Source organism: Homo sapiens, chromosome 2 (genome assembly GCF_000001405.40).
Source record: "Homo sapiens chromosome 2, GRCh38.p14 Primary Assembly".
In the NCBI taxonomy this organism is placed as follows: domain Eukaryota; kingdom Metazoa; phylum Chordata; class Mammalia; order Primates; family Hominidae; genus Homo; species Homo sapiens.
Genome location: NC_000002.12, coordinates 74,646,222 through 74,660,118, shown reverse-complemented (window position 1 = coordinate 74,660,118; position 13,897 = coordinate 74,646,222). Strand labels below are relative to the sequence as shown.

The following is a 13,897-nucleotide window of genomic DNA, read 5'->3' as shown; positions in this document are numbered from 1 at the left end:
AAGTACCTAATACCAAGTCTTCATCAGAGCAGACACTCAACTGAATGGTTGTCATTGTTGCTGTTTGTTGTTGTTGTTGTTAGAAGTCTAACATTTTTCTCTGTTAACTGCTAGAGGTCCCTCAACAAAACAAATTAGGATATTTTCCTCCAATGTCCAATGAGCTATCACTGAAGGACAGCACTCCACAGTGGGAGCCCTTAGATCCAATGCTGGAATTTCCTTTATGTAAGAACCTTCATTTCTCCACAATCAACTTTGATCAAGTTGCTATGTCTGGAACAAAGCTCTCAGATAATTGTTTATATACAGTCTCAAAGTCATCAGTCTAGGACATGAGAGGTTCAGCAGTGAGGATAAAGGAAGAACTTGGTCAAGCAGACTGGGGCTGCTGGGTAGTAGGATAAGACAGGTTAAGGCAGAAGAGAACTTTCAAAACGTCTACAGAGCAGACAGGATGTGGCTCAAAGGGTTACCAGAGTTGACCTCTTGCGGCTAGTCTCTATATTCTCCTTCAAACAAGCCTTGACCAAAGGATGGGCCCTCATTTCATAAGCCTGCTAGACAGGAGAGTTCAGGAAAAGAGCTGAATTCTTGGGAGCTCAGGACACAGACCCCTGGCTTCACTCTTCATTGCTGATGTTCCTCAAGAAGAGATAGGCATCCAAGTCACACCAATCCTGACAGGTATGTCCAGAAAGAACATTTTCTGTCTAGATACCTTATGTAACAACCACTAGAGTCCCACCTCAGAGAAACAAGGAAGAATTAAAGGCCCTAGGAGACTAACTTAGAACAATCACACTGTCTATAAGCCATGGCTCTGGGATTCATACCCATGGGATCCCCAAGCCTGGCAGAATGGAAAAGGACAAATATGGCAATGGCAGTACCATTGCTACCTTATAAACTTAAGGAGAACTGTAGGGAAATTAGACCTCAATGTTACCTGAGGGAATACAGAGATTTTCACCAACACCCTGAACTGCGAACCTTTCCAGAATGAGGGAGCTATCCAGATGCTGGTAGGGAGTGTGTATCACCTGCATTATGAAAAGGACTTAACATAAGTCCAACCCACCCCAAGGCAGCCCAGGGGGACTAACTGGAGCAATCATGCATATGATTATGATTAGCATCCTAAGCCAGAGATATGAGGGTGGTATGTAACAAAGAGGGGTTTAGAGATACACACTGACTTGATCCAGGTGGCAGGGATTACTGAGGACTGCAGAAGAGTCAAGACAAGATCTACAGTTAAGGATGAGGTCAAAAAAGGGAGCAGTTATACTCCCTCCTATTGCTCTACAGAGCAGAAAGAGAAGCCACTGGATATAAAGGATATGTGAGGCTTCTGACTCACGCCAGGGGCTTGTCACAAATGTGAGCTGCCAAAAGACCAGTGCTGACTACTGTGTAACAGATGGGAAAAGCTGAGAATTCAGAAACAGTCATCAGTCCCAGAGATCATGACTAGCCTAGATGTGATTAGGATACACATGTCCCAAGCCTGCCTGTGTTTGAGGCTGGTGATGTCCAGGCCTTCAGCAGCAATAAACAGGATCTATAAGAAAACATGATTGACAGAGTGCCCGCCCTGAAGGCAAGATCCAGAATATGGGGCCAGCAGATATTACATTAGTGGAAGTGACATCAGAAGCCATGAGAGGAGAGACTCACAGCCCATATACAATGAGGTTGGCAGTGGAAGTAGGAGAAGGTGGTAAGAGACAGTCACATGCTGTGAAAGGAAGAAACAGGCAATGGGCTGTACTAATTAAGAAATGGACACAGGCTGCCTGGACAAAGCATACACAGGGCAAGGGAAACATGAGTTTCTGGTTTCTGAAGTCTCTCCCTGGATTTGTTGTTTCCCCAGCCCAACCAGCATCCCTAACTTCCTTAACTATCCCACTATGTCTCTCTTCACACTTTGTATATCTTACCCTCTCCAGACAACCTCCCTTTCCCTCCCTCAGTGGCTTACACATACCCTCATCCCATGAGGACAGCCCCTACACCCAATGCTTATCATGCACAATGGTTGCCTTGACCATGCCCCCATCATGGTCGCTCACAGAAAACCCTTCCCATCCTCCCACCACCACCCCAAGTAACTCACACTGGTGCAGGCACCCTCTCCCTCTCCTCCCACACCGTCACTCACAATAACCCCGCACTTCGGATCAAAAGCGAAGGTGCCACAAGTGAGGAGGTGAGAGGCATTGGCAATGGCGAGAATCTGGACAAAATTGTGACATTCGTCCTGGGGGTCAGAGACGGTTAGAAAGAATCAGAAGCAGCAGGTACGAGGAAGGGTAAGGTAACGTCAGGACAGTTAGATGCAGCTTTGGGATCAGAGATGATGGGTGATGGCATGGTGTTAGAGTCTCTGCCTGGGCCCATTGGTATGGAAGCATTACAGGGGACTGAGAGTCAGGGCTGGGCCAAGGTCTCAACTGACACTCAAGACAGGGCTCAGATTTACACCTACCTCTTTCTTGCCTTTCTTCCTACAGTTCTGTCTGTGAGCCTCAGGAACCATCCAGTCAATCTGAGAAAGGAGAAGTGATCATTTCACCCAGATTCCCCTAACATCAAACTCCCTCGATGTTAGAGGAGATTAAACTGTTCTATAACCTCCATCAATTTGGGAACTTCAAAAGTCCCCCTAGAGCATTGTTTTTCAAATGGAGGTCCCCACCCATTAATGAGTAATAAAATCAATTCTGAAATCATGACCAACATTATTTTTAATGAAATAGAATATATCAAAATGTATCACATATAAGAGGTAGATATTGTTTCAAGAAAGGTTTCTTTCAGTACATAATTGTGTACCACAATACACAGTATACACTGAGCATCCCTTATCTGAAATGCTTGTGATCAAAAGTGTTTTACATTTCAGATTTTTTCAGGTTTGGGGATATTCGCAGAATACATACTGGTTGAGCATCCCTAATTTGAAAATCCAAAATCCAAAATGCTCCAATGAGCATTTCCTTTGAGTGCCATGTTGGCACACAAAAAGCTTCAGATTTTGGAGTATTTTGAATTTTGGATTTTTAGATTAGGGATGCTCAAACTGTATAGTTCTAATAATGGTCAAAAAAAAGTTTGAAAGCTGTTTCCCTAGAGTATTGTAATTTTAATGATCCCTCTGCCCATTGTCACCTGAAACCTGGTCACTGTGGTCTCCTCCCCATCATCATGAACCTCCTTCATATCCTCCCCAGTCACCCTGACCCGCCATACTCTTAGCTAAGAAAACAAAGTGGATGATCTCCCCCCATGTCTCCCAACTCACCCCCTCCTACTACCCCTGCTGTTACATCTTTAGTTATTATGAAATCCCCCACACACACTCATAAAATCATAGATTTAATCACATGCTACAGGGTCAGGGGTCCTTCCCTCTCTTGTCTCTCACCCTGCGGGGTCTCTCCCCTGAGAAGGGCAGGGATAAAGCGAAGATGGTGTCCCGGGCGCCAACATAAAGTGTGTGGGAGGCAGGATCCACAAGGAGAACAGAGTAATTGTATGTGTGAGGGACTGCGAACCGGGTGAGACAGGAGTCAGCCTCTGGCAGGAAGAGAGGAGAGTGATGTTAGCCATCGCTTCCTAAGGGTCAAGTCCACAAGAGCAAAACCAAAGGGGCCAATTTTTGTTTTCTTCCAAGTACCATTTATTAAGCAGCCATGGGGGAGAAACACAGCCTTGACAAGTGAACCAGAGATAGATGAGGCCAGAATATTTAGCACACAATCCAGTGGGTAAGTATGCTTTTTCTATAAAAATAGAGCACTAGCTGGACACGGTTGCTCACGCCTGTAATCCCAGCACTTTGGGAGGCTGAGGTGGGTGGATCACTTGAGGTCAGGAGTTTGAGACCAGCCTGGCCAACATGGTGAAATCCCGTCTCTACTAAAAATACAAAAAATTAGCCAGGCAAGGTGGCGCGCACCTGTAATCCCAGCTATTTGGGAGGCTGAGGCAGGAGAATTGCTTGAACCTGGGAGGCAGAGGTTGCAGTGAGCCAAGATCACACCACTGCACACCAGCCTGGGTGACAGAGCAAGACTCCGCTTCAAAAAAAAAAAAAATCTAAACCTCATATTAGCATTCAAAATTCGTATCTATTTAAAGACTGGAATAAGTTGGCATGAATTTACCTTCCTAGCTCAACCTCTGGTTCTGGGGACCCTACCCTTGCACCAATACAGCTCTGCTCTACCTGCTTCCTCTGCTCAGTACCCTCAAGACTGCAGACTGGACACCAACCCATTCATTCCTAGATGTACTGATGAGTCCCGCCCACTCCTTCCTCCCACACCCATACTTACCTCTGTGCCCACTCTCTCATGCTTAGTATAAGCCCTGGATCACCTAACTTCCCCTCACATCCTCAACTCTGCTTCACCTTGCTTGCCATCTAGACATCTCTGGATGCCTGGACATCAACCCAGCCTGGCAATCTCAACTTACTTTGTGGCTATTGCTTGGGTGCAAACTGAAACCCCAGGCTCTGGCCACAACTTCGCCTTCTGGAATCACAGCATCCCTATATGGCACTAGTCTGAATTTAAACTCTAAACTACTATTAACCAGTCCAGAGTTGTTGCCAACAGGTTGTACTCTTGGCTTCACTGGTTCTGTCTGCCCAAGGTGCTAATAACACTCAATGCCCACTGAGAAGACAACAAGGTCCACGGCCATGCTCATACCCACCTCAGCAGAGTCTAAAATGTGAATCGCCCCAATGATCACTTTTAACCTTGTGACGTCTCCTAGCTTCTTCCACATCTTTTCAAAGGATCATATCCCCCTCCTCTATTTTTCCTTCTGAAGACTTGAAAAATCATTTAAGCAGAACTTTACATCAACACATTGAATGGTTTACCAATATTCAATGTAGGGAATGGGCAGAGGCAGCGAGGAACACTGAGGAAGTTAAGAGAGTTAACGTGGATCCAATAATGGGAGAATGGGAGCTGCTGTCAGAGATGTCAGGGGAGCGGGAAGGGCTGTCAGAAGGGCCAAGAGGCTCGGATGATGTATAGAACTGATAGGGAAATGAATTGGAGAAGATGGAAATGCTGACCTGGAGATCGGAATGGAAAGCTGGAGTAGAATGAAAGACTGATGGGTCTGAAAGCAGAGTGGGCGTCAAGCTGGAATGATGGACCCAGGTGTATGTGCGGGGAAACAGGGGACTAAGGGAGACGGAACTTCGAAATGAACGACCTCGGGCAGCCCCCACCCGAGCTCTGGGCCTCAGTGTCCGAGTCTGCACGGTGAGGACTGGACGCTCCTGCGGCTCCGGGAATAGGGCCCGCTGGTGCAGCCTGGGCGTGTCGTGGGAGCCGAGGCGCGAGGCCCGGGCTGGGGATGAGGGGCTGAGGGGCGCGGGAGGGATGCAGAGAGGATGCGGTGAAGTGCGAAGATCTCGCCCCGGTCCCGGCGGGGCGTGGGCGGCGTGAAACGCCATACACCAGGCTGAGAGGCCCGGGTCCGGCCGAGCGGTCTGAGGAGCAGGTGGGTGTGGGTGTGGGTGTGGGCGCGAAGGGCTGAGGGCGTGGGCGTCCGCGCCTTACCAGAGATTGGAAGCGAGGTTCTGGGCACCGAGCGGGGGACGCGGCCGGATACCGGGCCGCTCAGCACCGCCAGCAGCAGTAGCGGGAAGGGCGAGGCTGTAGGCTGCCCGGGACCCGGGCGGGGCCGCGCAGCAGAGGCCGGCATCTTTGGCTCCGCCTGGCCGCGGGTGCGGCGCAAGCTACGGCCTCTGCTCAGGGCCCCGGGGCTACTGGCCTCGGCCCCACTCGGGTCCTCTCGGCTCGGTCCGGCTCAGCCTGAGGCTGAGGGATGAAACACCGCCCGGCTCCGCCCCCTCAGAAAGGGGCCAATGGTCGGGCCTCCTTCTTCCTCCAGCCAATCGGGATTGAGTGAAGGCGGGGCTGAGGGGAGGAGAGGCCTAACCCAGGCAGAGGCGGAGCTAGACCCAGGTGAAGGTGGGAGTTCTGCCTCGGAAGTGCGCTGGGGCTGCCACTCAGGGACCTCGAGTGGCGAGTTTGCTCCGGCCACTCCAAAAACTCAAACGCCCATAGCTGTACTAATAAGGAAAACTTACTAATAAGAGGACGTGGATACACGCACCAAGTTTCTCAAAATTAATACTTTGCAAGCATTTAAGGACGGCTGCCTATGTGCTGGGCAGGCACAGTGTAACGCGCGCGCGCACACACACACGCACACACACACACACACACACACACACGATTATACAGAAAATACTAAAAATCACGGCCCTTGCCCTAGGGAGTTCACACTGTAATGGGGCTTCCAAATGTAAGCAAATAACTGCAAATAGATAATTGCAATACGAAGCAATGCACGTTTGCTATAATAACGTGCAATAAGTGTGCAGAAGGGCCAGGTTTTGCCAGAGGAAATCAGGAAGGCCTCACAGAAGAGGTGACATTTGAACTGATTCTTCTAGGGTTGGTAGGCCTTTGAGGGCGAGGAACAAAGACTGCCTATGGGCATATCCACTTGGATATCCTATAAACAAGGCAAGCATAGGTCCTGAGGATAACTCACTATCTCCTCCATCCCAACCCTAGCTCCTTCTTTTTTTTTTTTTTTTTTTTTTTTTGAGACGGAGTTTCGCTCTGTCGCCCAGGCTGGAGCGCAGTGGCGCGATCTCGACTCACTGCAAGCTCCGCCTCCCGGGTTCACGCCATTCTCCTGCCTCAGCCTCCCAAGTAGCTGGGACTACAGGCGCGCGCCACCATGCCCGGCTAATTTTTGTATTTTTAGTAGAGACGGGGTTTCACCGTGTCAGCCAGGATGGTCTCGATCTCCTGACCTCGTGATCCGCCCGTCTCGGCCTCCCAAAGTGCTGGGATTACAGGCGTGAGCCACCGCGCCCGGCCCCTAGCTCCTTCTTCAAGCACTTAGTCTGCACTTAGTAGGTAGTCTTTGCTTTCTCCTCTTTCACCCCCATTGTATTAGTTATTTAGGCTGCAAAACAAATGTAACAAATTAACCTCAGAATTTGGTGGCTTAAAACAAACAAACAAAAGACATGGTCCCTGAATTCGAATTGCTTAGCCTGGAGGGAAAATCAGACATTTGGAATAAACTTTTATTATCTCTCACAATCTCTCTGCGTCAGAAATTTAGGAGTAGTTTAGCTAGGTGGTCTGGCTTCCAGTCTCTCACAAGATTACAGTCCAGATATCAAACGGGGCAGCAGTCCACTGAAGGCTTGCCTGGGGCTGGAGGATCCACTTCCAAGATGGCGGACTTCCATGCCTGCCAAATTGGTAGTGGCTGTTGGCAGTAAGTGAAGGTTGTTCTCCACATGAATTTCTCCATGGGGCTGCTTGAATGTCTTCACAAAATGGGGTGACTTCCTCAGAGCAAGTGATCCAAAAGAACAAGGCAAAAGAGCAAATGATATATTTGTGACCTAGCCTCAGAAGTAACACACAATCTCTCGGCCATATTCTACTTGTCACACAGGGCAGCCCTGATGCACTGTGGAAGGGGACTTCACCAGGTGGTACAGGGATTTCACTGGGAATACAAGGATTTCAGCCTCCTTTCTTGGAGACTAGCTACCATGCCCATATGTAAGAAATCACTATGTCCTTATAAATCTGACTAAAAAGTAACTTAAATCCATCCTTTTCTTTCCATTATCATCATAGTTCAGGACATCATCATCATTCACCTGGACTGTGTGATAATTTCATTTAAAAAACAAAAACCTAGCCTCCAGTCCCTCCCCTTCCAGACTGCCATCAGGATAATCTTTCTAAAGTGCAAGTACTAGTTCTAGTTTGTTCTTTCAACAGTTATTAAGGGCCTAATATGTGCCAGGCATTTTACTAAGTACTAGAGATAAGATTAAGACATGGTCCGTTGGCTGGGCATGGTGGCTCATGCCTGTAATCCTAGCACTTTGGGAGGCTGAGGCAGGAGGATCACTTGAAGACGAGTTCGAGACCAGCCACGTCAACATAGCAAGACCCTGTCTCTGCAAAATAATAATAATAGCAAGGCCTGGTGGCACACACCTGTAGTCTCAGCTACTTGGGAGACTGAAGCAGGAGGATCACTTGAGCCCAGGAGTTCAAGGCTGCAGGGAGCTACGATCACACCATTGCACTCTAGCCTGCCAAAAAAAAAAAGCCATTGTCCTTGAATTCAAATTGCTTAGCCTAGAGGGAAAATCAGGCATTTGGGATCAGTACTTCTAATCTTCTCTCTGAAATCTTCTTTCTAAAACCAACCTCAACACAATGGAACCCCTGCCCCCCGTCTGAGTTTCTTCCTCTAGCCCACTATATGCCTTTCCTAAGCTGCTTCTCAGCAGTCTAGTCTAGGCCTTAGTCCCTTCTCTGAACATGACTTATTGGTTGTCTTTTGATTTTTTTAATATTTTTTCAATTTTTTTCACAAAACATACAATAAGAGGTTCTTATTGTGCAACCTAATTGCACTTAAGTACATGCATTCATGTACCCAATGTACATATTAGTGAGTTAAATTTTTAACAAAGTCATACTTACATTATATTTATCTTTACTTCAGGAGCTAAATTCTCATTTTTTTCCCTATCATGTTGCATTTTATTCTATTCCATTTTTTTAAATGCTGGTTGCAGCCCACTAAATTGATTTTACTATTCATTAATGAGTTGAGATCCCCACTTTGAAAAAAAAAATCACTGTTCTATGTAGTCTCATTCATACTAATTTAGTTAATAATGATTTTCTAAATCTACATTTCTAGGCCATATCTTTCTCTTCAGCTTCTGACACACACATCCAAGTGCCTAGTGGACATTTCCACACAGTGTAACCACAGGCACCTTGATTTCAATATGTCCAAAACTGAACTATCGTCCCCACCCTCATAGCATCCTGGTAATTGTGTGGATGCTAAAACCAATGTTCCCCATAGCACTACTGTCTTTCCAGCTGTCTAAGCCAGAGACTTTGCATTTGTTTATTCAATAAGTATTCATTGAATGCCTACTATGTTCTAGGCCCTGTCATTTTGGATTCCTCTTAATCAAATCAATCATAAAGGCCTGTTAATTTTAACTCCTAAATACTTCCTCCCACATCTCCGCATCCCCTCTGCCAATACCCTAATTCAAACAACTATCTTCTCTTGCCTGGGCTCCTTCCTACTCTTGTCTTGTCCCTATGCCCTGCTGCCACCACCCCAATTTCAGCCCCCAATCCATTCCTTTTAAGGCAGGGAGGCAGGGAGAATGTTCTCTCCAGTACACAAATCAGATCATGTCACTCTTCTGCTTAAACACTTCAGTTTATCTCCCCATTCCAGCCCACCCCGCCTTTGCTATGAGATAAGATCCGAAATCTTTAATATAGTCCACAGATCGTATATGTTCTGGCCCTTTGCCTATCTCTCCTGCTTCATCTTTGACACTCCTCTTCCACATACTATACTCCATACTGGAGTATAGTTCAGCAAGACTGTTGGGGAATCATCAAGCCAATGTTGCCCATTAGAGGAGTGCTGTGTGAGGAGTGCTGTGTGAGAAGTGCAGTGTTTCCCAGGAATGGGTCTGCCTTAGTATCTCCACCACATTCAGTCAGTGGCTGGGAAGATGGCCTCCATGCAAATGTGGCAGATTTCTTTTTTCTTTCTTTTTTTTTTTTTGAGACAGAGTTTTTGCTCTTGTTGCCCAGGCTGGAATGCAGTGGTGCAATCTTGGCTCACCGCAACCTCTGCCTCCCGGGTTCAAGTGTTTCTCCTGCCTCAGCCTTCCGAGTAGCTGGGATTACAGGCATGCACCACCATGCCCGGCTAATTTTGGATTTTTAGTAGAGATGGGGTTTCTCCATGTTGGTCAGGCTGGTCTCGAACTCCTGACCTCAGGTGATCCACCCGCCTCGGCCTCCCAAAGTGCTGGGATTACAGGCGTGAACCACGGAGCCCAGTCGTGGCAGTAGATTTCTAAGGCAGCAGCTGATGCCCTTGGTCAGTTACACTCCTTGTAGTTTAAAGTCTGCAAGGTGCTTTCTCATGACCATTATAGTTTATCACCCTCAGAAAACAATTCTTATGTCATAGTCCCCATTTCTGGTACAGTTCTTTGCATATTTTTAATAAATGCTATAGAGGGTACGGAAAGAAATTAATAGTAGGTAGGAGCAATGGGTGGTATGGTTTGGAGTGAGGCTAGTGCTCAAGTTTGAATGCGTCCCCCAAAGTTCATTTGCTGGAAACTTAGTACCCAATGGAATAGTGTTCAGAGGTGGGGCCTAACAAGAGGTGATTAGGCCATAAGGGCTCTGCCCCCATAAATGAATTAATGTCATTATCTTGGAAATGAGTTAGTTATTGAGAGAGTGGGTTTGTTGTAAAAGTGAGTTCAGCTCCCTATTGCTGTCTTGCTCTTTTGTACCCCTTGCCCTTCTGCCTTCTGCCATGGGATGACACAGAAAAAATGCCCTCACTAGATGTGGGATTCTCAACCTTGGAATTCCTACCCTCCAGAATTTAAGAATACATTTCCTTTATTTACAAGTTAGTTGTTCTGTGGTATTCTGGTATAGCAACACAAAGGGGAGTAAGACAGGTAATGCTGGGGTTGAGCCTAGTAAGGTAGGTGGGGTCAGTTATAATGGACCCTCTAACCGAAAAGGAAACATAAGCCATTTTTAAGACAAAGAATGATATGATCAAAATATTTTTACAAGGACAATTCTAACATCAGTGGAAACGATAATCTGGAGATTAGAGACAGAAAGGCTAATTTGGACTATATGGGGGGAAAGAGCTGTTGAGAAGCTACCCTTTAAACTGAAACACAGGAACTCTATTGAATATCAGATTATAGTGTTTAAAAAAGGACATAGGTTAAATAGTTCTGTTCTTACCTGAGGAACAGTTGATAGGAGCAAAATGGTTTAGTGGGACTAGAATACAAGCAGGCAACTCTTTTCCTGTTGAAACATCTAACCTATCCTGTGCCACTCATTGAAATATTGCCCCACCCCACCTCCAACCTGCATCTAGACAATGAACTGAGAAAATAACAATAATAATAATAAAGAAAACAAGGAAAACTGCTTGTACATTTCTAGCTTGGAACTAGCATTATCTTTCCCTCTCCTGTGGACTAATTCAGAGAATTCCTTTTTAACCAGAGTTGAAGACCCAGACCAACCAACTGTTAAGGACCAGGACGCTCCTACCCCATCTGGAGTTCGTCAAAGGGACTATGGGAATCAACCTCAAGTAAGCGAGAATGAGTATGAAGAGAGCGACAGACCCTCTTGGAATACAGGAGTTTGAAAAGACTTAAAAGAACTTTGTGAAGGCAGCTATAACTTCCATGAGGGCAGTGACCATTGTCTGTACATCCACTGTACTCCAATCCTAGCACAATGCGTGGCACATAACGTGCCCACCACAGATGTTTAGTGAACAAAATAGCGACTGGCTGAAGGAAATGATGTGGAAGGGAAAAGTTAAAACCAAGAAAACGGTCGGTGGGGGAGCTACTGGCATGTTTCATGGGAAGGGGTAGAAAAAGAAAAATGTCAGGTTTAGCACAGCATTTCCAACAAATAGACAAAATTCTACCTAAGGGACAAAGAAGGACTGTTCTCAGGGTATCTAGGGACTTGGAGACCGTTTTCCTGAAGCGCCACCTGAAGCGCACCCTGAGGCAGCCAGGCCCCGCCTTGCCCGCAGTGAGCCTCCCGCCCAGCCGCGCCGGCCTGAGGGGGGCGCCTCCGAACGCGCGGGCGCACGCTGAGAGCCGGGAGGACCAGGTGAGGGGGCCTCCGTCTTCCGAAGACAGGTACGGTTCTCCACGCCTCGGGGAGGGAGGGCAGCCCGAGAGCAGCCGGCACCACTTCGCAGGCTGGGCTGGGCGTGGGCCGAGCTCGGGCCAGTCCTCAGGCAGGTGTTGGTTGCGCTGGCCGTGGCGGGTGCCGGCGCAAGACTGACGCCGAGAGAGGCTCCGAAATCGCTGTCGGAGTCATCCCTCCGCATACTGTTCTGGGCGGCCAGGCCTGCGCGGAGTCTGGGCCCGGAGCTTCCTCCGCGGGGCCCCCAGGCCCGAGGGCCGGGCTGCTGATCCGCCAGGCACGGTAGGCGCCATGCCGAGGGACCACGGAGGCTTCAGGGAGCCACGAGAATTTTTTTTCTTCTGGTTTTGCTTTGTTTTTGAGACGGAGTTTCACCCTTGTTGCCCAAGCTGGAGTGCAATGGCGTGATCTCGGCTCACTGCAACCTCCGCCTCCCGGGTTCAAGTGATTCTCCGCCTCAGCTTCTCGAGTAAGCTGGAATTACAGGCTCCCGCCACCACGCCTGGCTAATTTTTTTATATTTTTAGTAGAGACATGGTTTCCCTATGTTGGCCAGGCTGCTCTCGAACTCCTGACCTCGTGATCCGCCCGCCTCGGCCTCCTAAAGTGCTGCGATTACAGGCGTGAGCCACCGTGCCCGGCCACGAGAATGTTTTCATTTCGTTTAAAGTGAACCCATGAAGTCAAAGAAAGTGTTTTGATTTTTTTCTCACATCAGGAGGGGGAAATGAGATTTTTAGGGCCTACAAAATCCATTAACTTCTTTTAATCTTTTTTTAATGGAGGAAGGGGTCCACGAAGACGAAAGTGCCTTAGGGCCCACGAAATCTTTAATAGGGCCCTGCCAGAGGGAGAACCATTGAATCGTTTATCACGCGACAAAGTGAATGAGGGCTTGTAAAGGGGCCCTAACCTAGAATGCTCAGCACGGAACAGAACATCCGCAGAGGCAGACACAGCGAGAAGCCGATCTGTGAGAGGTGGATCTCCCGGGGTGCGGGCAGGGGAGGGCCTAGTGTGAGGATGGAGAGTTGGGCAGAAGGCACAAGCAGAACTTTAGGGCCAGGGTAAAGATATTGGATTCTGTTTCCAGTGGTGTAATTGGAAGTCCTTGGAGGGTTTTTAGTTTGGGCATAACTTGGTGGTTTGGAGTGGTTCAAGGCCCAGTTCCAGTTTTAACCAGTTTGCAGGGAGAATTCATTAAGCGAGTGTTCTTGGCAAAAGTGGAGAGTATAGGGTCAGAATAAGGTCAGAGCCTGTTTAGTACTATGCCCAGACACATCAGATGCATGAATTGATGATGTTTGAGGATGTAAGGAAGAGAGCTGCCTCTTACCTCATTTAAAATACAGTCTTCCAATTGCACATTAGTGTGGGATTGAAAAATGACTGCAAGCTGAAACCATTCAAAGAGATCTTAAACACCAATGGGAAAAATTACAGTTGTTCTATAACCTTGAAAAATTGTCAAAACACTAAAACTTTCTTACTAACTGTATAGGGAAATGTAAAACAGTAAAACTATTTCATACACTAACTTAAAACATTAGAAACATTGAGAGCTAAAGTGTTTTATTTGTTGAAAAAAAACTCTCATAGTAAAACTTATGAGAGAGCAAACATTTTTTGTGTGTCTTGGCAAACTGACATACTTCTTTCTAAGTTTGGGTTAGTTTCCTACATTTTATCCTTTGTACCTTCAATTTTGTAAAATATCTCTGAAAGTTTCTTTAATAATGAAGCTTTTTGCCAGTGGCCCTTTCTGTAGGATGTCTTCATCCTTTTCATCACAATGACTTTCCTCAAGTATGTTGATAAGTTTGCCTTCACTAAATTCCTCTGGCTGCTTCTCTAGAGTCTATCAGGTGGAGGCAGTGTCAACACTCTCATAGTCAGCTGTTTCTCCTTTAACTCCACTTATGTTAGATTCAGATTTCACTCCTGGCATTATCATTTTTTATTTCTTTGCTGCTCCTTTTATCGGCTAGTTTCCTCTTTCAGTTTTTGTTTTTATAAAACATCACATGGGCTTA

General features: G+C 47.0%; 2 protein-coding genes across 28 annotated transcripts in view, besides 1 other annotated feature; one reads left to right on the top strand and one right to left on the bottom strand.

Moving 5' to 3' along the window:
- Window positions 1-5,872, bottom strand: part of SEMA4F (ssemaphorin 4F) — a 55,165-nt gene extending 49,293 nt beyond the window's left edge. For 9 of the 16 annotated variants that reach the window (XR_007068742.1, NR_073398.2, XR_001738589.3 and 6 more), the window contains exons 1-4: window positions 5,598-5,872; window positions 3,434-3,585; window positions 2,495-2,554; window positions 2,168-2,266 (exon numbers count right to left, since the gene is read on the bottom strand). Coding sequence is in view for 12 of the 16 variants with exons in the window: in NM_001436846.1 (NP_001423775.1) it covers window positions 2,168-2,266; window positions 2,495-2,554; window positions 3,434-3,585; window positions 5,598-5,742 (456 nt within the window). In the remaining 4 variants the exon portion in view is untranslated. The remainder of the gene's footprint in view (window positions 1-2,167; window positions 2,267-2,494; window positions 2,555-3,433; window positions 3,586-5,597) is intronic. The other 7 variants (NR_073399.2, NM_001436847.1, NM_001438791.1 and 4 more) reach the window with 3 other exon arrangements.
- Window positions 5,596-6,025: a silencer, noted in NCBI's record as "silent region_11671". NCBI's record gives its function as "represses an Ori minimal core promoter by ATAC-STARR-seq in GM12878 lymphoblastoid cells {active_cell/tissue: GM12878}" and the evidence as "EXISTENCE:reporter gene assay evidence [ECO:0000049][PMID:35858748]".
- Window positions 11,789-13,897, top strand: part of M1AP (meiosis 1 associated protein) — a 90,448-nt gene continuing 88,339 nt past the window's right edge. For 9 of the 12 annotated variants that reach the window (XM_047443432.1, XM_047443431.1, XM_047443430.1 and 6 more), the window contains exon 1: window positions 11,789-11,854. Coding sequence is in view for 1 of the 12 variants with exons in the window: in XM_006711946.4 (XP_006712009.1) it covers window positions 12,783-12,844 (62 nt within the window). In the remaining 11 variants the exon portion in view is untranslated. Of the gene's footprint in view, window positions 12,845-13,897 lie in introns of all 12 variants that reach the window. The other 3 variants (XM_006711946.4, NM_138804.5, XM_011532551.3) reach the window with 3 other exon arrangements.